Below are 26,154 nucleotides of genomic sequence, written 5' to 3' on the forward strand. Positions count from 1 at the left end.
GCCACGGCGCCAGCCCTCAACATGAGTTTTGGAGAAGACAATTATTTCAAACCACAGTACCAGGAAAAGTGCAAAAAAAAAAAACCAAGGCAGAACAATTATGTGGTGTTGCTTGTGAGAGGTAAAATTTTATTTTATTAATATTTGCTTGTATTTGCAGAAATTCTATAAGAATACATGAGTATTGAATGTTATACAAACGCAGGCGACCATATAATCTTCCATTGAAATGGAACGGTTTCTAGAATGAAAGGGAGGATGTTATTATTATTATTATTATTTTTTGAGACCGAGTCTCGCTGTGTCTCCCAGGCTGGAGTGCAGTGGCGCGATCTCGGCTCACTGCAAACTCCGCCTCCCGGGTTCACGCCATTCTCCTGCCTCAGCCTCCCGAGTTGCTGGGACTACAGGGGTGCACCACCTACGCCCGGCTAATTTTTTTGTATTTTTAGTAGAGAACGGGGTTTCACCGTGTTAGCCAGGATGGCCTCGATCTCTTGACCTCGTGATCCGCCCGCCTCGGCTGCCCAAAGTGCTGGGATTACAGGCGTGAGCCACCGCGCCCGGCCGAAAGGGGGGATATTAATCATTACTCCAGGACGACAGAGGGAAAATCGCTTTGTACTGGACAAACTGGAATGTCTGACCAACCATTATAAAGTGCACGGAGTGGGAGGAGGAATAGGGACATTTTAATTGTATTTCTAAAAAGTATCTTCTGTGGTGAATCGGAAACAAAACTCATTCTTTACCACAGGCAGTTTAAGCGCTGCCTGAAAGATCGAAGGACGGTAAACCACAGACGTGAGAAACGGAACTTTGCGAAAACGCAGTCGTTTTATGTACCGGCTACTCATTGGAGTTACACCAGAGACTCACTACTGGAGTTCATCAGCCAATCCAAAGTCCAAGCGTGAGAGCCAGAGCCTGTAGGAGAGACCTGGGCAGGCCTCAGACCTGAGGAGTGGAGCTCCGCATCACTCAACCCTGGGGGCGGAGCTAGCCCAGGCTCCCACACCCGACGCTCTGGCCCACACAGACGCTACTCTGTAGCATCTCAGGTTCCCTCTGGCTGCACTCTGGAGGACCACACTCGTTTTCTTTTTGGCTGCCAGAGGCCCCCGCATCCACCGCTGAGCTGGGAGAAAGATGGCGGCAGCCGTGCGACAGGATTTGGCCCAGCTCATGAATTCGAGCGGCTCTCATAAAGATCTGGCTGGCAAGTGAGTATTTCCCAGGAACGCGGGAGTACAGAGGTGGGGAAAGAAAGCCACAGCCTTAATCTCCTTAGGTTGGCCACGGCTCTTGGGCGTGAAGCTAGGAGCCGGCCTGACGTCCAAGGGGGCGGGCCTGAGGTCGGCTGGGGAGGCAAATGTTGGGAGAAGCAGAAAGCTGGAGGGGACCTTGTGCAGGGGCCTTCGAGGCTATAGACTTGAAATGATTGTCAGCTTGTTCAGTTCTTGATAGAATCTTTCTGGTCCCTTAGGATTTTGGAACAGCGGTCTGAGAGACGACTGCTACCCTGGCCTTAGTAGCCTTCCCTGGTACCTCTTCCCATCGCTGGCCGGCCTCACACCGAATCTGGCCTCTCTTTGGACCTTCCTCCTCTTTTTTTTTGATTCAGAGAAATGTATATTCTGGGGCCTTGATGCTGCGTTTTTCGGGGAGATGGCTTCTTGGGGCTGGCTGAGGTTGAGGCGGTATGGCCGCTGTCATGTCGTCCAGACCATTCAGACTGTCTTCTGTGGGTCCTTGTGTTTCGGGTATTTTCTCTGCCACCAACTCTGATGGCACATAGGCGGAATGTGCTCATATCGTGGGTCAGGATGTCTACAGTAGTGATGTTTGCAGGAATCTGAATTTTGTCGAAATTTATATAGAATGCTTAGGTTCACTCCAAGTTAAAATGTGTGACGTGCCTGTTCTGCAAGCAGTTGTCAACAGTATTAAGCATAGGTAGGTAGACGTATATTGTTCATTTTCTCTTTGTAGATGTCACAGCATTTCTCTTTTGTAATGAACATGCTTTCTGTTTAAAGTATGCCTCTCTAGGCCGGGTGCAGTGGCTCACGCCTGTAATCCCAGCACTTTGAGAGGCTGAGATCACTTGAGGCCTGAGAGATCTGAGAGGGAGGATCACTTGAGGGCAGGAGTTCTAGACCAGCCTGGGCAACATAGTGAGACCCCCCCCCCCGCCGCCACCCGTCTCCGTAAATAAATAAGTAAATAAAGTATGCCTCTCAAGTTGATCTTAATGTTTACATCCTGACAGCTGAAATCACTTTGATGTATATTAATGGGATACACCTGTTCTAACCTGGTCATTGAAATTCTGACTGTTTTAAGTAGGCTAGGCTGCCTTTTCTCTGGTGGCAAACGTAATCTACTTTTATCAGTGGGAAATTCAGCCGTATATTTTGGGCTTAACTACTTTGTGCTGCATTTTCCCACTCAGGAAAATGAAGATAATAATAGGACTTATTCTTGTCTGACATTATCTGAGGACAAGATGAGTATGTGTGTGCATATATACTTACCACACTTATATCACGTAGAACAGTACCTGACATATAGAAAGTGCGGTAAGATTGTTGTTGTTACTATTAAGCTGTCAGTAAATATATATTCACTTATTGTATGGGTTGGAAATAAGTTAAATATGTCTTCATGGCTCAATCCTTTCTGCTTGTAATTTTTATATGGATGAAAGTAAAATCAGCTTATATTTTTCCCCATGCTTCCTTTACTTTTTATTTTGTTAAAGAAGAATAAGTGCATTAGTTATCAAAAGAAATAGAGCTTTGCAAGTATTTGCAGAATTCTGAAACTTAAGTATTTACTTCTTCAGGTCTGAATTGGAGATAAACAATAGTACTTAAAGCGTGCTTCAGTTATCTGTTGCTTTGTAACAAACCAAAAACTTAACCAGTGTAAAACAACTATGATTTCTCAGGATTCTATGGGTTGACTGGACTGCTTTGCTGGTCTTGTCTGGGCTCACTCATGCAGATATAGTCAGCTGGCAACACACCTGGGGCGGGACTCACATGCATATCTTGCTCTTGCCTGGATCTCTCTCTCTCTCTGCACAGTCTCTCATTCAGTAGTTTAGCTTGGGCTTTCTTAGGTGCCTATGAGAGGGGAAGTCGCAAGACCTCTTAAGGATAGCCTAGGAAGTCTCACGTCAGTTCTCTAGTACTGGTCAAAGTAAATCAGAAGACCAGCCCAGATTCAAGGGGAGGGGAAATGGAGCTTACTACTACCTCTTTAGTGGCAAAGTTACATTGCAAAGGAGCCTGGACAGAGGGAGACACGATTCATTGGAAGCCGTTACTGTAGCAGTCTACCACATGGTGTTATTGTGAAGATTAAATGAAATAATGTGCTTGATAACTGATAGCCAGTGCAGTCTTAGCCATAACTCCTTCAGAGCTGCTTTCTGAGAAAAGTCTTGGCCTTGCCTGCATTTCCTATGTGGGCAAGAATGTAGCAGGATATTTATCCTTACAACAACATCAGTTCTACCAGCTATATGCTTTAAGAGAAATACCCTTGAAATATATCAGTGTGTTTTTTTTTAATGTATTTTTTCTTGTATGTACTTTTAATGAAGGTTTTTGGGTGTTTTTTTTAGGAGCTGAGTAACAAAGGATTCCATATTAAAGAATAATGGAATACATTGTTTCTAAAACATCAATACTGTGTGTTCCTAGCAATTGGGATATCTGTAACAGTAGTTGTTCAATAAACGTGGTTGAATTAATGAATAGCTAGAAAGGGGCAGTGCTTGTATTTGAATCCAGGTTCATCTACTCTAAAAAGCTCATTTTAAACCTACCAGACTATGCTCGTTTTCTTGTTAAAAACTCAGTTAGAAATGCTTTCCCATAACTGTGAATTAACACAGCTGTCTAAAGTTTATATAAGAAATTAGCCAGAGGAAAAGCATTTCCTCCATTTTATAGGCTGCTTTTGTGCATATTATGCATTGTATTTATTATCTCACATAAAGCTTTAGAATAGGAGAGCCACAACGGAGGATAGACTTTATTGAGGATAGCCTCAAAGGCCCCTTCTAACTCAGATTCTGATTCTCTCTTTGTTGTCCCAAACACAACAGTTTTAGTGGTTTTCATCTCTAGAGTGAAAGTCAATAACATCTAGAGTTTACTGTGCGAAGCACAACATTACTTACATTTAAAAATCCTTAACAAGTAGGAGTAGGTGATAGTAGTGATATTATTTACATTATAATAAGAGAAAACCAAAGTACAGAGTTGAAATACCTTGCTCTGAGGTCACACAGCTAGTGGTGAAGCTAGAAGACAGTCCATATCTGCTTGCCTATGAGCCCTTAACTCTAAACAAACACATCTACCTTTTTGGCCTTATTTTCACAAAAAAAAATTGACTACACTTCAGATAGTGATTATTTTTGCCTAGAATGCCTGTCTTCCTACTGTTATTAAATTGAAATACTTAGAATGTTTAAAGATCAACCCCATCCAATGATTTCTCTCTCCTAAAAATTATATTAGCACTTACCTGTTTTTTTTGTTTGTTTGTTTGTTTTGTTTTGTTTTGAGATGGAGTTTCACTCTTGTTGCCTAGGCTGGAGTGCAGTGGCGCGATCTCGGCTCACTGCAACCTCTGCCTCCCGGGTTCAACCGATTCTTCTGCCTCAGCCTCCCAAGTAGCTGGGACTACAGGTGCATGCCACCACACCCGACTACTTTTTTTTGTATTTTTAGTAGAGACAGGGTTTCACCATGTTGGCCAGGATGGTCTCGATCTTTTGACCTTGTGATCCACCTGCCTTGGCCTCCCAAAGTGCTGGGATTACAGGCGTGAGCCACCGCGCCTGGCCAGCACTTACCTGTTTTTAAGATTTTGTCTTTAATTTTGTGTAGCTTCATTATGATATGTCTGTGGATTTGTTTTTACTTTTCTATGTCAGTTACCCTTTGCTGTGAAATAAACCCCAAAACTTAGGGCTTAAAACAACAGTCACTTATTTAGCTTATAATTCTGTAGGTTGGTAGTTTGGATTGGGCCCAGCTGTATGGTTCTTTTCTGCTCCACGTGGTCTTGGTTCCACATGGGCTCCCATGTGGGTCTATAGTTAGCTGCCAGCCAGGCCAGGTAGGCAGCTCTGCTTCTGTGGATTGGCTGGCTTGTTGGCTGGGGCAATATAGTTGACTGGGCTACATATCTCATTAGCCAGTATGTTAGTCTGAGCCTGTTCATGTGACAGCAGCAGGGTTCCAAAAGACAAACACATACAAGGCCTCTCGAGGTCTGGGCTCAGAACTAGCACTTCATTTCTACCACGTTTTATTGGTTAACCCCAGATTCAAGGGGTAGGGAAATAAACTCTACCTTTTGATATGAAGAGCTACAAAGTTGTATTGTAAAGGGACATGGGTACTGGGAGTGAAATTATATTGTGGCCGTTTTTTGTAAGCACTCTGTCACATTATCCTGGTTAAGCTTCACTGGGTTTCCTGAATCAATGGATTAAATCATTTCATCAGTCTTGAGATGTCTTCAGTTATATCTCTTTATTTTATTTTAGAGACAGGGTCTTGCTCTGTTGCCCTGGCTTGAGTGCAGTAGAGAGATCATGGCTTACTACAGCCTTAACATGCTTGGCTCAAGCAATCTTCTCGCCTTAGCCTCCTGAGTAGCTGGGACTATAGGCACGTGACACCATGCCTGGCTAATTTAAAAACATTTTTTTTGGTACAGATGGGGTCTCCCTATGTTGCCCAGGCAGGTCTCGAACTCCTGGGCTCAAGGGATTCTCCTGCCTCGGCCTACAAAAGTGTTGGGATTACAGGTGTGGGCTACTGTGCTTGGCCTGTATCTCTTTAAATGTTGCCTCTGCCCCATTCTGTTTCTCCTCTAGGCTCCGGTGAAATCCCTGTCAGGCCCACTGACTATAACCTCTAGGCCTCTTACTCTGTCTTTTCCATTTCAATGCTTTATTCTGGATTAGTTCTTCAGGCCTACCTTCTAGTTTATCACTTCTTCAACTGTGTTTAATCTGCCGTTAAGTACTCCATTGAGTTTCTAAGTTGGGTTGTATTTTTTAGCTCTGTAATTTCTGGTGGTTCTTTTTTCCAATGATACTTTTTATGGCTCCTGGTCTGTTGCTGAAACTTTAAAGCTTGTCTTTATCCCCATGAACATTGTAAGCATAATTGTATCATGCTCTTTCTGATAACTCCAGTCAGTATTTGACGTTTTGGTTGTTGCGATTGTCTGTTGCTTTTGTTGATTCTAGAGAGAAATTTCATTACCTGAGGGTGCTAACAGTGTATAATCAAGGCTTCAGAATTTTTTTGGTTTACCTGGGTGGTCTTGGGATAGAATTTGTAACCTTACTTCCAAAGTGTGTGTCTCCTCCTTTGGCAGAATATGGAACTTCCATTCCCATTTGTGCAGCTCTATTAGTCTGCCAGAAATGGCAGCTTGCTTCTCAGTGCTTCCAGCAGATTCGCAGTGAGCCCACCTTCTCCTCCCTACAAGAAGTGCCACTCTACCTCTCAGCCATCTTTCCACAGTCAGCAAATGCCTTTAGACAGAATATATGGTTTATCTTATTTTCCTCATTTTACCTTTCTTGTTAGGATTTTATGCAATTACATTTTTTTTTTCATTTCTTTCAGCTTTTTATGTTGGCTTTTTTTTTTTTTTTTTTGAGGGAGGGTTGGTCCAGTCGTTTAGTTCACCATTACTGTAAGTGGAAGATCTGTTAATACCTACCTTTACCACCCATTGTGATCTTAAATGATGACTGTGGTACATTTTCATGCTTTATTTATCTCCAGATTCCTTTCAAGTGCCAAGAAATTAAGAATCAACATACTGAATTTGGTTCATATACATTAAAGATGCTCAATTCACTGATGATAAATGGATAGGAGAGATGTATGATGCCTTAGTAATAAAACTTATTTTCCTCCATAAGTTTTTTTTTTTTGTTTTTTGTTTTTTTTTTTTGAGATGGAATCTCACTCTGTCGCCCAGGCTGGAGTGCAGTGGCATGATCTTGGCTTACTGCAATCTCCACCTCCCGGGTTCAAGCGATTCTTCTGGCTCAGCCTCCTGAGTAGCTGGGACTACAGGCACACGCCACCACGCCCGGCTAATTTTTGTGTTTTTAGTAGAGACAGAGTTTCACCATGTTGGGCAGGCTGGTCTTGAACTCCTGACCTCAGGTGATCCGCCCACCTCAGCCTCCCAAAGTGCTGAGATTACAGGCGTGAGCCACTGCGCCCGGCCAAATTTTTTTAAGGAAGAAAATATTTGGCACTTGTCACATTCTCCATATCAGTCACATTTCTCTTTGTATACTGAGTACTCATATAAAAAGCTATTATTATCTACGAAGCCTTATTTGACAAATCTAGTCCATTTTTGTTTTACTCTCACTCTGTCACAGGCTGGAGTACAGTGGCTCACTGCAGCCTCCACCTCCTGGGTTCAAGTGATTTTCCTGCCTCAGCCTCCCGTGTAGCTGGGACTTACAGTTGTGCACCATCACACTCGGCTAATTTTTGTATTTTTAGTAGAGATGGGGTTTCTCCGTGTTGGCCAGGCTGGTCTTGAACTCCTGGCCTCAAGCGATCGTCTTCCTTGGCCTCCCAAAGTGCTGGGATTGCAGGTGTGAGCCACTTCACCTGGCCTTACTCTCTTTTGAGTTAATATATTACCTCTTCATTTATCATATTGCTTATATTGTTCAGTTTTATCATAACTTTTGTTTTTGTATTATTGTAATTTAATACTTTTTTTTTTTTTTGAGATAGAATTTCGCTCTGTCACCCAGGCTGAAGTGCAGCAGCGGGATCTCAGCTCACTGCAACCTCTGCCTCCCAGGTTCAAGTGATTCTCGTGCCTCAGCCTCCCGAGTAGCTGAGATTACAGGCACGTGCCACCACACCTGGCTAATTTTTGTATTTTTAGTAGAGATGAGGTTTCACCATGTTGGCCAGGCTGGTCTCGAACTCTTGACCTCAAGTGATTGGCCCACCTCAGCCTCCCAAAGTGCTGGGATTACAGGCGTGAGCCACCGCACCTGACCATATTGTAATTTAACACTTGACATATTAACTTTTTATTTTTAATCTTCCCCTTTGTCTTCTCAGCCATATGATCTTCAAATACAAAGGTCATTTAAAAACTTTTTAGTATCATACACAGAATCTCATATAGCATCTTAAAATGCCTAAGGACTCAATTAACACCTTGGGGTGATTTTATATGGCAGTATTAAATTTCTGTTTAAGTTCCTGGTTTAAAACAGGTTTGTTAGTCATTTTATGTTATTCTGAAAAAGTAATCTCTGTTGTTAGATACTAGAATTTACATATTAGAGAAGCAAGGGAGCATGTAATGTAGCCACAGTGCTGTACCTCACTTTTTTTAATTAATTAATTTTTTTTTTTTTTTGAGACAAGGTCTTGCTCTGTCCAGGCACACGCCACCACAGCTGGCTAATTTTTGTAATTTTTTTTTATTTTTAAAATTTTTATTTTTGAGATGAGATATCACTCTGTTGCCCAGGTTGGAGTTGCAGTGGCAAGATCTCAGCTCACTGCAACCTCCACCTCCTGGGCTCAGGCAATCCTCCCCCCTCAGCCTCCCAAGTAGCTGGCACCACAGGTGTGTGCCACAATGCCTGGCTAATTTTTTTATATTTTTGGTAGAGATGAGGTTTTACTATGTTGCTCAGACTGGTCTCGAACTCCTGAGATCAAGCCATCTGACTGCCTTGGCCTCCCAAAGTGCTGGGATTACAGGCATGAGCCACCACGCCCAACCAATTTTTGTATTTTTTTTTTTTTTTTGTAGAGATGAGGTTTCACCACATTGCCCAGGCTGGTCTTGAACTCCTGGACTCAAGTGATCTACTTTCTTTGGCCTCCCAAAGTGGTAGGATTACAGGCATGAGCCACTGCGACTGGCCCTCAATTTATTCATTTATAAAATTGGGAGTTTATGTACACAATTTCTAAGGCCTCTATAAGTTATATAATTTGATGAGTATAAAACTTTGATCACTTTTTAGGTTGGTTTATTTTCATTTTTTCTTCCTATTCCCAATACAGATTAGTTGATTGATTATGAAACTATGTGTTAAAACTTAGGTTAGGCCAGGCACAGTGGCTCAAGCCTGTAATCCCAGCACTTGGGGAGGCTGAGTTGGGAGGATTGCTTGAGTCCAGAAGTTGGAGACCAGTTTGGGCAATGTAGTGAGACCCCATCTCTACAAAAAGAAAAGAACAGTTAACCAGGGGTCGTGGCACATGCCTGTAGTCCTAGCTACTCAGGAGGCAGAAGCAGGAGGATTGTTTGAGCCCAGGAATTGGAGGTTACAGTGAGCTATGATCATGTCACTGCACTCTAGCCTGGGCGACAGAGTGAGACCCTGTCTCAAAAAAAAAAAAAAAAAAAAAAAAAAAACCATAACAACCACAAAACAACTTAGGTTAATTAGCAAATTTATATAAGTGAGACACTATTACCTTTGAATATAATGTTGTTAGTATAAAATAATCTAAGAGGATATAAAAGTAAGAGATCTTAGCAATAACCCTTGATTTAATTAAATATGAAAAAAATAAAAAATAACAAACCATTGAATGTATAACTTATCTGAAAGCATGCCCAGGGCCATAAAGTAATTTATCTTTTAAGGACCCTCAAACTTAGCAATATTGAAAATATAATTTTCTAAAAACTTAATATTTCCTTGCTTTCTTAGAATAATTTATTTCTTCTTTTGGAATTTGCTATCTTTTCTATCCGTATATCTGCTTTCTTAAAGTCACTTTGATTCATTGTGGTTTTGAGAAATCAGATAACCAAGGTTGTGAGAATTTTGTATGAGTTGAGAGTCAGTAATGCTGAGTGGTAGCTTGAGGGTGTGCCCTACAAAATAAAAGTCATAAATCTGAATGAGTTCAGGTTCTATTTTTGTATATTTATTTCGTAACTCTATTCTGGATGACTTTCCGAATAATTGCAATGCTATGAGGTTTGTAAAATGTATTTAGTGCTTTTAAAAAATATTACAATTGGCTGGGCGCGGTGGCTCACGCCTGTAATCCCAGCACTGTGGGAGCCCGAGGTGGGCGGATCACCTGAGGTCAGGAGTTCAAGACCAGCCTGGCCAACATGCGGAAACCCCATCTCTACCAAAAATACAAAAATTAGCCGCACTTGGTGGTGCATGCCTGTAGTCCTCGCTACTCTGGAGGCTGAGGCAGGAGAATTGCTTGAACCTGGGAGGCGGAGGTTGCAGTGAGCCGAGATTGCGCCAGTGCACTCCAGCCTGGGTGACAGAGCAAGACTCCATCTCAAAAAAAAAAAAAAAAAAATGATTAAGACAAAAGAGATAAAGATTAGTATAGGCCGGGCACGGTGGCTAACGCCTGTAATCCCAGCACTTTGGGAGGCTGAGGTGGGCGGATCATGAGGTCGGGAGTTTGAGACCAGCCTGACCACATGGTGAAACCCCATCTTTACTAAAAATACAAAAATTAGCCAGGCGTGGTGGCGCATGCCTGTAATCCCAGCTACTCAGGAGGCTGAGGCAGGAGAATCGCTTGAACCTGGGAGGTGGAGGTTGCAGTGAGCCAAGATTGCGCCACTGCACTCCAGCCTGGGTGACAGAGCGAGACTCCGTCTTCAAAAACAACAACAACAACAACAACAAAAGAATAGTATAACACTCATATACTAACCACTCGTTAAGAAATAAAACATTACTAATACCGTTGAATATTTGAGTGCTTATGATGTGCCAAGAATTGAGATAATTGTCTACATAGCAGAGAACAAAACACAAGAATTCCTGTCCTCGTGGAGCTTGTGTGGTCACAGATATTAGGTAGAATAGTTATTAGATCTGAATGCAAATAAAGAATAAATAGGTACTGTCTGACAGCATAAATGGTATTCTATCAGTGCATTTGGCTTGGCGAAGTTTATTTTGTACAGACTAAGACATTCAGTCTTTAATGTTTGGTTTCGTTGCCTGGTCAACATTATCCTATTGCTGGTGACCCTACATACATTACGTCTGTAAGAGGAAAAGATTCAGGTCACCTCAAATAATGTTTTTGTGTGTCTATGTATTGCACAGTTGAAGGAAATATAGCTTATCTTTTAAGGCATTTGAAAGGAAATTGACTTTGTAGTTTAAATTCAAAAATAAAACCTTCAAGAAAAAGTGACACCTTAGATTCAGTAACAGAATTATAGATTCATTCTTTCTTGTGATGAGCTTGAAAACTTAAAAAATTCTGGTATACTATACTGAAAACTAGATGAAGTGGTACCTTATATAATTATAGATTTAATATCTCTTGTGATAGACTAGAAACTTAAAAAAAAATCTGTGGTATACTATAAAGAAAACCACAAACTATAGTACTATGAAAGAAACCAAGGTATGTAGAAATGAATAAATACACATCAAAGTTTGCATTAGAAAATATAGTACCCTCAGAACATTATTTTCATTTGGTATTGTTGTAGGTATCGTCAGATCCTGGAAAAAGCCATTCAGTTATCTGGAGCAGAACAACTAGAAGCTTTGAAAGCTTTTGTGGAAGCAAGTAAGTGAAATGGAAATTTCATGCTTGCCTTGTATTACTGAGCTAGGACTTTAAAGTTCTCTCAAGCCTTGTTTTGTATCAAATTATCAATATTAAATATGCATTGAGATTGATTGATTTTAGAATTTAAACTGTTTACAACTTGATTAATTTTCAGTGAATTATCTTCAGAATTACAATCCTAATTAAAGTTTTGTATGTTTATTGTTATAATAGCTGATAAGGGACAATATAGCATAATAGTAAAGAGAATAGTTTGGATTCAAATCCTGGTATGCTATTTTATGAGCTGTGTGATCTTGGGTCAATTATTTAACCTCTCTGTGCCTCCTTTTCCTCTTTAAAATGTACTCTGTAGTACATCTAATGTACCTAAAATGTACTCTATAGTACATTACTGTACTACAGGGTAGTACAGTACTGTACTTTGAGAAGTGTCTGCTTATGTCCCTTGTCAATGTTTTAATGGGGTTGTTTTCTTAATGTTCAACATCACTAATCATCAGAGAAATGCAAATCAATGTGGGATGCCATCTAATATTAGTCAGAATGGCTACTATTAAAAAGTAAAAAAATAACAAATTCTGGTTAGACTTCAGAGAAAATGAAATGCTTATACACTGTTGGTGAGAATGTAAATTAGTTCAGCCACTGTGAAAAGCAGTTTGGAGATTATTCAAAGAATTTAAAGCAGAAGTACCATTCAACCAGCAATTCCATTACTGAGTATATATCCAAAAGAAAATTAAAAATTCCACAAAAAGAAACCCCACATGCACTTGTATATTCGCCATATTGCTATTCACAATAAGGAAGGCATGGACTTAACTTATGTGTGAATCAATAAATTGGATAGAAATATGTGCCACATATACACCATAAAATACTACGCACACATTAAAAAGAATACAATCATGTCCTGTGCAGCAACATGCATATGTCTGTAGGCCATTATCCTAAGGAATTTTATAGTGAGTTCACATGGAATTTTATAGTGAGTTCACATCATTAATGATATCTGATAGTGCTTTACAGTGTGTTCTCACACACATTACCTGTCACATAGGCTCCTTTTAATAACCTGTGACTAGAACGTATAGGTACAGGTATCCCTGTATAATATATTGTAAGACAAGTCTCAGGATTGAGTAACTTTTTTTCAAGGACATTTAGCTGGCAGAGCCCAGATCAGAAACTAGGTTTTCTGATACACTGCTCTTACTTGCTTATATTTCCCTGAGTAATACCAGCTTGTATGGTAACTTAAATGCCTAATGACACTTGTAATGAAACTGTTTTCTCAGTCACATCCTGTATTACCCAATAATGAATTCCAATTAATATGTGATTAATTAATTACAACTGCCTTAAAAAAATACTGCCTTAAAAAGTTACTGCCTTAAAACTTAAAAGGTTACTGCCTTAAAAAATCATGGCCTCCGGTGTGAGATAAACTAGCAATGGTTTCCAAAAAACTGTTAGGAGTGGTTTATTAAGAACTTTGCACTGTAGTAGCAGAAGAATAATGCTTTTTATAACTTTGATCTTGGCTGGGCACGGTGGCTCATGCCTGTAATCCCAACACTTTGCGATTACAGGTATGAGTCATGGCACCCAGCCAAGGGATCACTTGAGCTCAGGAGTTCAAAACCAGCCTGGGCAATGTGGAGAAATCTCGTCTCTACAAAAAAATACGAAAATTAGCCTGGCGTGGTGATGCATGCCTGTAGTCCCAGCTATTGGGACGCTGAGGTGGGAAGACTGCTTGAGCCCCGGTGGTCGAGACTGAAGTGAGCTGAGGTTGCATCACTGCGCTCCAGCCTGGGCAGCAGTAAGATTGTCTCAAAAAAACAATTAAAAAACATATATATATATATTTTTTGATCTTTGTATAAGCTTTGAATCCAGTAAACCACCAGGAAAAGCAGTCTACTGTTAAAATCATTTACATCAACTGAACAGTTTTTGAATCACTTATTTTCATATTAACTGCTGCTTTAAGACTTGAATAATTGGCCGGGGCCATGGCTTACGCCTGTAGTCCCAGCACTTTGGGAGACCGAGATGGGCGGATCACGAGGTCAGGAGATCAAGACCATTTTGGCTAACACGGTGAAACCCTATCTCTACTAAAAATACAAAAAAATCAGCTGGGCGTGGTGGCGGGTGCCTGTAGTCCCAGCTACTCAGGAGGCTGAGGCAGGAGAATGGCATGAACCCGGGAGGTGGAGCTTGCAGTGAGCCAAGATGGTGCCACTGCACTCCAGCCTGGGCGACAGAGCGAGACTCAGTCTCAAAAAAAAAAAATAATAATAATAAAAAAGACTTGAATAATTTATCTAAGCAATAGTTTACAAGAATGATGCATTTAAAATGATAGTTATAATAGTAACATTTGTTGAGTGCTATGTACCAGGTATTGTTTAAAGTGCTTTGTGTATATTATTGCATTTAAGCTTCATAACAACCTTATGAAATAGATGTTACACATGAGGAAACAGAAGCACAGAGAAGCATAGAGAAGTTAAGTTTCTTGTCTGAAGTCATATAATCAGTAGTGGTAGAAGCAGTGTGGCTCCAGAGCTTAATCACATAAAATAATACCTCGTAAATGTTTATAAATAATGTCAATACATCTAGTGCTCACTGAAGTTCTTATTTATTGTTTTTATTGGGAAAGTATAAGTGGCAATAACTGTACTGGCAGCACTTGCTTTATTTAAATTTCATGAAAATTATTTTACTGTTTTCTTTTTTAACTCCTTTTTGGAACAAGGTAGGATATAAGCACATAAATAAAAATATAGGTGTTTTTGTGCCTTCACTTTGTAGAAAAATGAGATAAAATTATCAACTTTTAAAACTTTTTTCAATTATTTCTGTTTCTTAGAAAAGTTGTGTTATTTTTACTGTTTTTTAAGATTTTTTAATTAATTAATGAATTAATTAATTTTGAGACAGAGTCTAGCTCTGTTGCCCAGGCTGGAGTACGGTGCTGTGATCTCGGCTCACTGCAACCCCAGCCTCCCAGGTTCAAGCGATTCTCTTGCCTTAGCCTCCTGAGTAGCTGGGACTACAGGTGCCCACCACCATGCCTGACTAATTTTTTTTTTGTATTTTTAGTAGAGACAGCGTTTCACCACGTTGGTCAGGCTGGTCTCGAACTCCTGACGTCGTGATCTGCCTGCCTCGGCCTCCCAAAGTGCTGAGATTACAGGCGTGAGCCATCGCACTGGCCTATTTTTACTGTTTTTGTGTGGTCATTGTGTAATCAAGTATTTCAGCATAAGGAAAACTGATGATGTAATATAAAATGATAGGGGTATGGAAATCCTTGAATAATGCATTGAAGGCTGTACTAATATAGATTGTTGTTAGTATTAATTTTAAGTAAAGGTTGATTGTTTAATGACAATTTATCAGCTCATGTTTTCTTATCTTTTTTTTTTTTTTAAACAAGTGGTAAATGAGAATGTCAGTCTCGTGATCTCGCGGCAGTTGCTGACTGATTTTTGCACACATCTTCCTAACTTGCCTGATAGCACAGCCAAAGAAATCTATCACTTCACCTTGGAAAAGATCCAGCCTAGAGTCATTTCATTTGAGGAGCAGGTAAAAATCTAGAGAAGTGGTTTTTTAACTTGAGATAGCAGCAGTTATTTTGAGAATCTGATATTAGTAAATTCTTAAAGGAGATAATCATCCAATTTCATTTTTGACAAAACAGTGTGCCAAACGACATTTTATGATGCAAAATCAAGTAAATATTAGGTTGTTACAACTCCAACTGACATTTGCTTATAAAGTAAAATTTGATTTTGTGAATCAAATATTGCTCTCTAGACAATTTTTTAAAATCAGTAAAATTGGTATTTCAGCTGAAAACACAGGAAAACTCCAGCATCGTGTATGCAGGAACATACAAGCTAAATTTAATGTTTAAACTACAGTATTGTACCATAATCCACATTGCAGAAATGTGTTGCTTCCGTTCACTAGTTTGATATTCTGTAAATGCAAAATTCGTAGGAAAACTTGGGTGGTCTTGATAAACGTTTACTGTTTACGTGGCAGCTTAGTATGTTGAATTGCCACTTTAGAATAACTTTCCTATTTATTTTAATTAGTTACTAATGTCAGTTGAAATAATTTGACATGTATACCTATTATTCCAGGTTGCTTCCATAAGACAGCATCTTGCATCTATATATGAGAAAGAAGAAGATTGGAGAAATGCAGCCCAAGTGTTGGTGGGAATTCCTTTGGAAACAGGACAAAAGTATAGTAAATAGTGGATATTGGATGACTATATATAGGATGTATATAATTGCTCACTTATATTTTTTCTTACATTCTAGTACAGGAAACAGATAAACAAATAAATACAAAATTGTGTAGTATGTTAGAAGGTGATAAGTGCTGTGGAGAAAAGTAATGGGGCAAAGCGGGGACAGGTTGTATGTATATTTAAATAGGGTGATTGGGGTAGTAGGGTGGCCCTGATGTCACTTTATCAAAGACTTGAAGGAGATAAGGGAGTAGCTAAGAGTGATCTGAGGAAAGAATATCACCAGATACTCTTGTTGTTGTTGTTGTTGTTGTTGTTTTTTGTGACGGAGTTTTGCTCTGTTGCCCAGGCTGGAGTGCAGTGGCATGATCTCGGCTCACTGCAACCTCTGCCTCCTGGGTTCAAGCAATTCTCCTGCCTCAGCCTCCCAAGTAGCTGGGACTACAGGCATGCACCACCACACCTGGCTATTTTTGTATTTTTACTAGATTTTCACCATGTTTACTAGGTTTCACCATGTTAGCCAGGTTGGTCTCAAACTCCTGACCTCAAGTGATCCACCTACTTCAGCCTCTCTAAGTGCTGGGATTACAGGTCTGTGAGCCACTGCACCTGGCCGAATATCATCACTAGATACTCTTAGAGGAGATGGCTAGTGCAAAGGCCCTAAGATGGGAGCAAGCTTGAAGTGTTTTCTTAATAAGAGCAAGGAGGCCAGTGTGGATAGAGTAGAGTGAGCAAAGGGGCAAGAGATCAGGGATGAGAGTAGAGAGTACTGGGGACCAGGTTATGTGGAGTTTTATAAGCCATTGTAAGGAATTTGGCTTTTCACTAAGTGAAATGAGGGGGAGCCATTGGAGAATTGTGAACAAACAGTGAAATGATCTGACTTCTGTTTTAAATAATTACTCTCACTACTGGGTTGAGAATAAACTGTAGGCAAGCAGTGATAGAAGTAGGGATATTGGTTAAGAGGCTTATGAGACCAGGTACAGTGGCTCACACCTATGGTCCAAGCACTTTGGGAGGCTGAGGTGGGAGAAGATTGCTTGAGCCCAGGAGTTCGAGAACCACTTGGGCAGCATAGCTAGACCCCATCTCCACCAAAAAAAAAAAAAAAAAATGCTGGGCATGATGGCACATGCCTGTAGTCCTAGCTACTTGGGAGGCTGAGGCGGGAGGATCGCTTGAGCCCAGGAGTTTGAGACCAACTTGGACAACATATTGAGAACACCCCCCATCCCTACAAAAAAATTTTTTTTTGTTTTAAATTAGCTGGGCCTGGTGATATAGTATGGATATGCATCTATACTCCCAGGTAGTTGGGAAGCTGAGGCGAGAGGATTGTGTGAACCCAGTAATTTGAGGCTGCAGTGGGCCATGATTGCACTGCTGTACTCCCACCTAGGGCACAAAGCAAGACCCTGTCTTTTTTAAAAAAGGCTTATACAGTACCACAGATAAGGTGGATGTTGTGAGAAGTATTGAATTCTAGATATGTTTTTTAAGGTAGAGTAAGGATTTCCTGATGGCTTGTATGTAGAGTGTGCAAAAAAGAGTCAAGATAAGCCCTGATTTTTGGCCTGAGCAATTGGAAAGTTGGAGTGGGGAAGAATAGGTTTGTAGGGAATATCAAGAGTTTCATTTTGGACATATGATATCCAAGTAGAAATATGTAGTGAGGAGTTGAATGTATTAGTCTGGAGATTAGAAGAGATATCTGGACTAGATATACATATTTGGGAGTTATTGACATATAGATGAAATTTAAAGCCATTAGATTGGATGAGATGCCCAAAGGAGAGAATGTAGATAGGCAAAAGGACTGAGTATAGTGAGGCCTGGAGCACTTCAACGTTAAGAGGTTGGGACCAGGGGAAGATGTAGCAAATGAGAAGGATTATCCATTGAGGTAAGAAGGAAATCAGAATAATGTGGAGGGTGGTGTCCTAGAAGCCAAATGAGGAAAATGTATCAAGGGCCAGGTGGTGAGCTATGGCATTGATAGGTCAAGTAAGATAAGGAGTACAGGTTAACTGTTGGCATTAGTAGTGTAGAGGCCACTGATAACCTTAACCAGCTGAGTTTTGTGAAATGATAGTGAAAGCCTGATTGCATGGTTTAAGAGAGAATGGGAAGAGAAGATGTGGAGATAGTGAGTATGGGCTACCCTGTGGGGGAGTTTTCAAAAAAGGTAGGAAGAAAAACAGGGTAGACGATGACAGCAGACGTTAGGCTAAGGGATTAGTTTTTCTTTTATGATCCAGTAGAAAGCAAAAATTTGATATAGGGGAATTGGGGAGAGGATTCTTGCAGGAGTAGACAAGAGAGGAAGGAATCTAGCAGAGGGATAGGCTTTAGATAGGAATATGGGTAGTTCATCTGTGTCAGAGATTCTCAGCCTCAGCACTACTGGCGTTTTCGGCTAGATACTTTGTTGTGGGGGCTGTCCTGTGTATTGCAGGAGGTTTTAGCAGCACCACTCCTCTGATTGCTGGATGCCAATAGTACTGCTGTTCCTAGTTGTGACAAGAAAAATGTCTGTAGACATATTAGTGATATAGTGGTGGAATTTGTGTAAGTACTCTTTCATTGCATTGCTCCAGTATTCTTTTTTTGTTGGCTTTTTGGTTTTGAGAGAGGGTCTGGCTCTGTCAACCAAGCTGTAGTGCAGTGGTGTGATCTCAGCTCACTTCAGTGTCCGTCTCCTAGCATCCCAAGTAGTTGGGACTACAGGTGCACACCACTACGCCTGGCTAATTTTTGTATTTTTAGTAGAAACGGGGTTTCACCATGTTGCCCAGGCTGGTCTCAAACTCCAGGGCTCAAGCAATCCACCTGCCTTGGCCTCCCAAAGTGCTGGGATTACAGGTGTGAGCCACCATGCCCAGCCTTGCTTCAATATTCTTAAGGAAGTTGAAATCAGAGACATCAGCTGGAACGGTGGATGGGGTTGCAGTGTGAGGTTGAGGAGAGACAATAATGTGAGAAGTAATCCCCTTAGGAGAGTGGGACAATGAATGGACTCAGCATGTAAACTTGGCAGCATTAAGGACTTGTTGAAGATCATAATGATTAAAATTAGATCAGTCATACTGGGCACAGTGGCTTCATGCTTGTAGTCCTGGCTACAAGCCTCAGTCCCAGCGGAGGTGGGAGGATCTTGTGAGCCCAGAAATTTGAGCCCAGACTGGGCAACACACTAAGACCCCATCTCTAAAAAAAATTTGATTTGGTGCTTTTTCCCATCACATTTCAGCTACATGAGTACGGGAAAGGAGTGAGCAAACAATTAGGTTTAACCACAGTTGCAATTTTTGCCTAACAAGTATGACAGCAAGAGAGGGACAAGGGAGATGAGTACCTATGCGGTTCAATGATGATAAGTTATTACAATGAGTGACCATAGGAGTTAGGCTAGGTAAAGAGGGAAGTGAGGCCTTTATGGAGAAAGGCAGTGACATGTAAGGGATAAGTGGTTTGGAGGGCACAGTGGGTTCAAGGATTGTTGGGTTTGAGATACTAGAGAAAATGAGGTAGAAAAACAATTTTAAAAAATTAAGATGGCAGGGCGTGGTAGCTCACGCCTGTAATCCCAGCACATTGGGAGGCTGAGGTGGGCAGATCACCTGAGGTCGGGAGCTTGAGATCAGCCTGGCCAACATGGTGAAACCTTGTTTCTACTAAAAATACAAAAATTAGCCGGTGTGGTCTCATGTGCCTGTAATCCCAGCTACTGGGGAGGCTGAAGCACAAGAATCATTTGAACCCGGGATGTGGAGGTTGCAGTGAGCCGAGATTGCACCACTGCACTCCAGCCTGGGTGACAGAGTAAGACTCTGTCTCAAAAAAAAAAAAAGATGGTTTATAACTCTTACTCAACCAATCTTACCTCTTGATGTATATGTTTTTTAAAATTTATAGTTCTTTATGAAACATTTCTCCTAAGTATATTGCACGAGAAGGATGAAAGGTATGAGACTATTGCTTATTGTATTGAAAACACTTCCTCTTCCAGTTGGCAAGTATAAAACGGTACCAACTGTGAAGGACTTAAAAATATCTTTGGCCAGGCGCGGTGGCTCACACCTGTAATCCCAGCACTTTGGGAGGCTGAGGCAGGCGGATCACAAGGTCAGGAGATCAAGACCATCCTGGCTAACATGGTGAAACCACGTCTCTACTAAAAATATAAAAAATTAGCCAGGTGTGGTGGCAGGCGCCTGTAGTCCCAGCTACTTGGGAGGCTGAGGCAGGAGAATGGTGTGAACCTGGGAGGCGGAGCTTGCAGTGAGCCAAGATCACACCACTGCACTCCAGCCAGGGTGACAGAGCGAGACTCCATCTCAAAAACAAAACAAAACAAAACAAAACAAAAAATAACTTCATCTGCTTTTCTACTCGTTTGCCAGGTGAACGGGGGATTCTTTTTTTGTTCTTCATTAATATTTGCAATAGTGAGGCAGACACTGCTTCAGACATCTTGCCTTTTTTGTGCATTATTTATGAAATTACTTGGCAATGATGCTCCTTGAAAAAGCGGCCAGTTTGTAAAAAAGCCTTCATATGTAGATGTTGAATTTTGCATTTCAAGGTCCCTTGATAATTTGGTAGTTTGAAAAAGCTGGGCTTTCTTGATTGCTTTGGTCTTATTCTTTACCTAGCATTTTTTCCCTAGCACAGGGCAATTGATTTATTTTCAGTGGTAGCTGAAACAAATATAAAATTAGATACTGTTTTTTGCAGTGGTCATAATTATCATTTTATAGTACTATAGTGTTATCCTCATCTGTGAGGAAACCAAAGAGATAAAAATGTCATTGGTTTTCTAAACGAGTTAAAGTGACTAAATGTAGACTTTGGATAAATGGGAACTTTTTCTTTCAAAAAATGATTCATTCTGATTATGAAAGTAATCGATATAATAGTTACACTTGGCAAAAAATTGGAAAATTCAACAGTATAGTGCTATGCATAGCAAGCAATGTAAATTTGAATTGTGAATGGAAAAAAGTACAGAATATTAATATATGCAAGGAATAAATTTGCATAAATTTCTCCTCCCATTCTCCTTTGCCCCCAAATCAATAAAGTATAGAATTATTTTCAAAGCTGGGGCCAAGTGAATTATAAACTCTGTGTTCTTGCCACATGGTGGCACCACTTTTGCAGGTAAATAGGATTAATTTTTCTGTTAGGATTAATCTTGTTTCATGTGAGTTTTGAGTTATGTGAGGTCTTTAGTTATGCACTCCTGGCATAAAATGTGACCACTGAGATGAAGAAGAAAATGAAAGCCACCTATAATCTGACTACCCACAGATAATTGCTATTAGTATTTTGATATATGTGTATAGAAATATATTTTAATAGTGTTTTACATACTGTTTTATCCAGTTTTTTCATTTAGGAAAAATACGTGGTGACTAGATTATAACTATACAGTATTCTACCTTTTTTTTTTTTTTGAGATGGAGTCTCACTCTGTTGCCCAGGCTGGAGTGCAGTGGCATGATCTCGGCTTACTGCAACCTCCACCTCCCGGGTTCAAGCTATTCTCCTGCCTCAGCCTCCCTAGTAGCTGGGACTGCAGGCATGTGCCTCTATGCCTGGCTAATTTTTTTATTTTAGTAGAGACAGGGTTTCACCATATTGGTCAGGCTGGCCTTGAACTCCTGACCTCGTGATCTGCCCGCCTCGGGCTCCCAAAGTGCTGGGATTACAGGTGTGAGCCACCGCGCCCAGTCTTGTATTCTACCATTTTTATGCACCACAACTTGATCACCAATAATATCATAATGGGTGATTTCCAATTTTTTTCCTAGCATAGATATTTATAAATAAATAATTTTACAAATGAATATCCTTTTAGATGAATATGTGTGCACATACCTGGCTCTCTTTTTAGGATTTCTTTTCTTTTCTTTTTTTTCTTTTTCTTTTTTTTTTTTTTGAGACGAAGTCTCACTCTGTCACCCAGGCCGGAGTGCAATGTCACGATCTTGGCTCACTGCAACCTGTGCCTCCTGGGTTCAAGCAATTCTCCTGTCTCAGCCTCCCGAGTAGCTGGGATTACAAGTGTGGTGCCAACCATGCCCGGCTAATTTTTTGTATTTTTAGTAGAGACAGGGTTTTACCATGTTGGTCAGGGTGGTCTTGAACTCCTGACCTCAGGTGATCCACCTGCCTAGGCATCCCAAATTGCTGGAAATACAGGCATGAGCCACCACGCCCGGCCTTAGGATTTATTTTCTAAAGGTAAATGTATAGTGGGTTAAGGGTATATGCATTTTAAAGGATTCAAAGGATGGTTGGAGAGCATATTTCCCAGTTATTTTCTAGGAAGGTTGTCCCACTAGTCATATATGATATACCCCTAAACTGGGCAGTTGTTCTTTTAAGATCTTTAGCTTGTGAGATTATCTGAGGATTAAAAGCAGCTAAGATATAATGTGATTAATGATAATAAAAATTCAATAAAACTTTTTAGTTTTTGTGTAATGCAGTAAAAAGTTTGATTCCCGGCCGGGGGCAGTGGCTCACGCCTGTAATCCCAGCACTTTGGGAGGCCGAGGCGGGTGGATCATGAGGTCAGGAGATCGAAACCATCCTGGCTAACACGATGAAACCCCGTCTCTACTAAAAAATACAAAAAATTAGCTGGGCGTGGTGGCTGCCGCCTGTAGTCCCAGCTACTTGGGAGGCTGAGGCAGGAGAATGGCGTGAACCCGGGAGGGGGAGTTTGCAGTGAGCCAATATTGCACCACTGCACTCCAGCCTGGGCGACAGAGCAAGACTCCATCTCAAAAAAAAAGTTTGATTCCCTTACGGTACCAGAATATATATCAGGAAAAAACAACATATCTTCTATTATTCCTAAAATTTTCTTGACAAAATGTTGAGTCATTATGTGTTTTTCTGTTACATCCTAGACAGTACAATGTAGATTATAAACTGGAGACTTACTTGAAGATTGCTAGGCTATATCTGGAGGATGATGATCCAGTCCAGGCAGAGGCTTACATAAATCGAGCATCGTTGCTTCAGAATGAATCAACCAATGAACAATTACAGATACATTATAAGGTAACAGATGAGTTGATTTGGAATTACTTTTGTATTGGAGAATTGTAACATACTAAGATGTTCCAGGACATCTGATAGATGCTCTTAAATATTAGAAATTGTTTCTCTGTTTTGTTTTGTTTTGTTTAACTCTTGCTTTTTAATTTGTCCCCTAATTGAAATATTTTCCCTCTGTTAGGTATGCTATGCACGTGTTCTTGATTATAGAAGAAAATTCATTGAAGCTGCACAAAGGTACAATGAGCTCTCTTACAAGACAATAGTCCACGAAAGTGAAAGACTAGAGGCCTTAAAACATGCTTTGCACTGTACGATCTTAGCATCAGCAGGTAAACACGTAATAATTTATACTTAAATGAACAGTTATCTTTGCTTAATAACTTTAGGTTGGTTACTGTTGGAAAATTTAGCAAGGAACTATTCTTCAAAAGGATGTCTTCATAATACAGTTATGGTAAATGTAGTTTAAGTGTTTAAAAACAGAAATAAAATGATTTGTTAAATAATTTAATATGCTCATATCAGCCTATTATGCATATGTGGTAAGAATAGTTAAAAGAGGGCTGGGCGCGGTGGCTCACACTTGTAATCCCAGCACTTTGGGAGGCCGAGGCGGGTGGATCACGAGGTCAGGAGATCGAGACCATCCTGGCTAACAAGGTGAAACCCCATCTCTACTAAAAATACAAAAAATTAGCCGGGCGTGGTGGCAGGCGCCTGTAGTCCCAGCTGTGGGGGAGGCTGAGGCAGGAGAATGGCGTGAATCCAGGAGGTGGAGCTTGTAGTGAGCCGAGATCAGGCCACTGCACTCCAGCCAGGGCGACAGAGAGACTCTGTCTCAAAAAAAAAAAAAAAAAAAAGAATAGTTAAAAGAGATAATATAAAGTTCTAAAATTTCACTAAAGAAGTGGATATCAACTTGAGAATTACGCAGAGTGAAACAAAAATTAAAATCTATAGATTGATGAAATGATAATTAATGCACTGCTTTTGGGTTTTTTTTTTTAACCTTCAAGCCTTAGTTTTAGACCTGGCATTTATCCTTTTCTTCAATACGTGTAACAAATATTGTTTGTTCTTTTTACTGAATTTTAGCATGTAAATCACTTATGAAGTAGAATGGGTATTAAGAGGAAATGCTAATTCTAAACCATAGCTTTTCTTAAATTGCTCTATCACCCAGGCTGGAGTGCAGTGGCGCAGTCACTGCTTACTACAGCCTCAATCTCCTGGGCTCAAGTGATCCTCCCACTTCAACCTCCCAAGTAGCTGGGACTACAGGTGCACACCACCATGCCTGGCTAATTTTTTTGTATTTTTCTAGAGATGGGGTTTCTCCATATTGCCCAGTCTGGTCTTGAGCTCCTGGGCTCAAGTGATCCATCTGCCTTGGCCTCCCAAAGTGCTGAGATTACAGGTGTGAGCCACCACGTCCATTCCATTTTATTCTTTATAGACTAGTTATCTTATTTATTTTATTTTTTGTTACTGAAAACGCAGTACATGAACATGGTACTGCTTCTTTTTCTAAAGAACTTTTACTGGTTTCTTACCTATCTTTCAATACAAATGGTAGCATATACACACTTTTGCAACTTACCTTTTTATTGTAACTGTATACATCATAGTGATCTTTACATGTCAGTACATATAACTCATTCTTTTTGGTTTTCTATTGTCTGGCTTTATCATAATTCATTTAGTCAGTCACAACACTATAGTGATTATGCACATGTATGAGTATATGTATAGGTTAACTTTCTGGATCCAAAGGTACATACTTTTGAATTTTTGATAGACGTTCCACATTGCCCTATACTATTACACTCCAAACAAAAACATTCATGAGCACCTGATTTCTTACACAGGTATTATCACATTCTTTTATCTTTTCTGATCTGGTAGATGAAAAACAGTATCTCACTTTAGTTTTAATTTGTATTGATGAATGCTCTTGAGCATTTTTCGTATGTTTAAAAAAATTGTTGAAAATCTGTATTTCTTTATTGAGTGAATTATACATTTATGTTGACTGGCCATTTTTTGAGTTGTTTGTCCTTTCTTGGTGGCTTGTGGAAGCTCTTTAGATATGAAGGAAAATTAAAATTTTTCCTAACTTGTCATCTTTTTGGTTTTGTTTATGACATTTTTGCCATGCAGAACCTTTTAGTGTTTACTTAATTACATTTATTAATCTTTCTTTAATGGCTTCAAGGTTTTGTTGACTTGCTTAGACAAGTCTTCCCTACTCTGAAATTATATGTAGTTGTAAATCCCCCCATGTTTTCTTTCAGTACTTTAGGTTCTCAAATTTCTTGGTGTCAGGACCCCTTTACACTCTGAAAAAGTATTGAGAACCGGAAAGCTCCTGTTTATGTAGATTCTATCTACTGATTATTAGAAATTAAATGAGTAATTTAAGACAATTTATTAATTTATTTTAAAGTAGCAATAATAGACCCATTACATATAAACATAAATGACATACTTTTATGAAAAACAATTATATTTTTCCAAAGCAAAAAATGTTACTGGGAATGGAATTGTTTTATGTTTAAAATTTTTTTTCAATATCTAGCTTAATAGGAAACAGCTCAATTCTTCTTTTTGTTTTTTTTTTTGTTTGTTTGTTTTTGAAACGGAGTCTCACTCTGTTGCCCAGGCTGGAGTGCAGTGGCGCGATCTCGGCTCACTGCAAGCTCAGCCTCCCAGGTTCATGCCATTCTCCCGCCTCAGCCTCCCGAGTGAGTAGCTGGGACTGCAGGCGCCTGCCACCACACCTGGCTAATTTTTTGTATTTTTTAGTAGAGACGGGGTTTCACCATGTTAGCCAGGATGGTCTCGATCTCCTGACCTTGTGATCCGCCCTCCTCCGCCTTCCAAAGTGCTGGGATTACAGGTGTGAGCCACCGCACCCGGCCGAAACAGCTCCATTCTTATAGGTACTTCCGCATTCCCTCCGTTTTAATAGGTTGTTTTAGTTAAAGTATATGAAGAAAATTCAGCCTCACACAGATGTGTAGCTGGAAAAGACAAGCACATTTTAATCGCATTTTCAGGTAATTGTGGATATTCTTTGATAGTATACTTGACAGATGGTATAGTTCTTTTTTTTTTTTTTTGAGATGGAGTCTCGCTCTTTCGCCCAGG

General features: G+C 40.2%; 1 protein-coding gene across 3 annotated transcripts in view, besides 8 other annotated features; it reads left to right on the forward strand.

Annotated features, from left to right (window-relative positions):
* Positions 628-747: an enhancer, noted in NCBI's record as "active region_21671". NCBI's record gives its function as "activates an Ori minimal core promoter by ATAC-STARR-seq in GM12878 lymphoblastoid cells {active_cell/tissue: GM12878}" and the evidence as "EXISTENCE:reporter gene assay evidence [ECO:0000049][PMID:35858748]".
* Positions 821-1,115: an enhancer, noted in NCBI's record as "tiled region #7954; HepG2 Activating DNase unmatched - State 1:Tss, and K562 Activating DNase unmatched - State 1:Tss". NCBI's record gives its function as "activates a minimal TATA promoter and a strong SV40 promoter by Sharpr-MPRA in HepG2 and K562 cells {active_cell/tissue: HepG2 | K562}" and the evidence as "EXISTENCE:reporter gene assay evidence [ECO:0000049][PMID:27701403]".
* Positions 821-1,227: a biological region, named in NCBI's record as "Sharpr-MPRA regulatory region 7954".
* Positions 878-1,227: an enhancer, noted in NCBI's record as "active region_21672". NCBI's record gives its function as "activates an Ori minimal core promoter by ATAC-STARR-seq in GM12878 lymphoblastoid cells {active_cell/tissue: GM12878}" and the evidence as "EXISTENCE:reporter gene assay evidence [ECO:0000049][PMID:35858748]".
* Positions 1,108-26,154, forward strand: part of COPS4 (COP9 signalosome subunit 4) — a 40,636-nt gene continuing 15,589 nt past the window's right edge. For all 3 annotated transcript variants that reach the window (NM_001330727.2, NM_016129.3, NM_001258006.2), the window contains exons 1-6: positions 1,108-1,223; positions 11,551-11,630; positions 15,091-15,242; positions 15,806-15,909; positions 22,851-23,004; positions 23,183-23,333. In NM_001330727.2, coding sequence (NP_001317656.1) covers positions 1,150-1,223; positions 11,551-11,630; positions 15,091-15,242; positions 15,806-15,909; positions 22,851-23,004; positions 23,183-23,333 — 715 coding nt within the window. In that variant the 5' untranslated portion in view covers positions 1,108-1,149. The remainder of the gene's footprint in view (positions 1,224-11,550; positions 11,631-15,090; positions 15,243-15,805; positions 15,910-22,850; positions 23,005-23,182; positions 23,334-26,154) is intronic.
* Positions 1,328-1,377: an enhancer, noted in NCBI's record as "active region_21673". NCBI's record gives its function as "activates an Ori minimal core promoter by ATAC-STARR-seq in GM12878 lymphoblastoid cells {active_cell/tissue: GM12878}" and the evidence as "EXISTENCE:reporter gene assay evidence [ECO:0000049][PMID:35858748]".
* Positions 1,418-1,477: an enhancer, noted in NCBI's record as "active region_21674". NCBI's record gives its function as "activates an Ori minimal core promoter by ATAC-STARR-seq in GM12878 lymphoblastoid cells {active_cell/tissue: GM12878}" and the evidence as "EXISTENCE:reporter gene assay evidence [ECO:0000049][PMID:35858748]".
* Positions 1,491-1,996: an enhancer, noted in NCBI's record as "H3K27ac hESC enhancer chr4:83956719-83957224 (GRCh37/hg19 assembly coordinates)". NCBI's record gives its function as "activates a minimal SCP1, AML or CMV promoter by ChIP-STARR-seq in naive H9 embryonic stem cells {active_cell/tissue: H9 hESC(naive)}" and the evidence as "EXISTENCE:reporter gene assay evidence [ECO:0000049][PMID:30033119]".
* Positions 1,538-1,597: an enhancer, noted in NCBI's record as "active region_21675". NCBI's record gives its function as "activates an Ori minimal core promoter by ATAC-STARR-seq in GM12878 lymphoblastoid cells {active_cell/tissue: GM12878}" and the evidence as "EXISTENCE:reporter gene assay evidence [ECO:0000049][PMID:35858748]".

This window comes from Homo sapiens, chromosome 4 (assembly GCF_000001405.40).
Source record: "Homo sapiens chromosome 4, GRCh38.p14 Primary Assembly".
In the NCBI taxonomy this organism is placed as follows: Eukaryota; Metazoa; Chordata; class Mammalia; order Primates; family Hominidae; genus Homo; species Homo sapiens.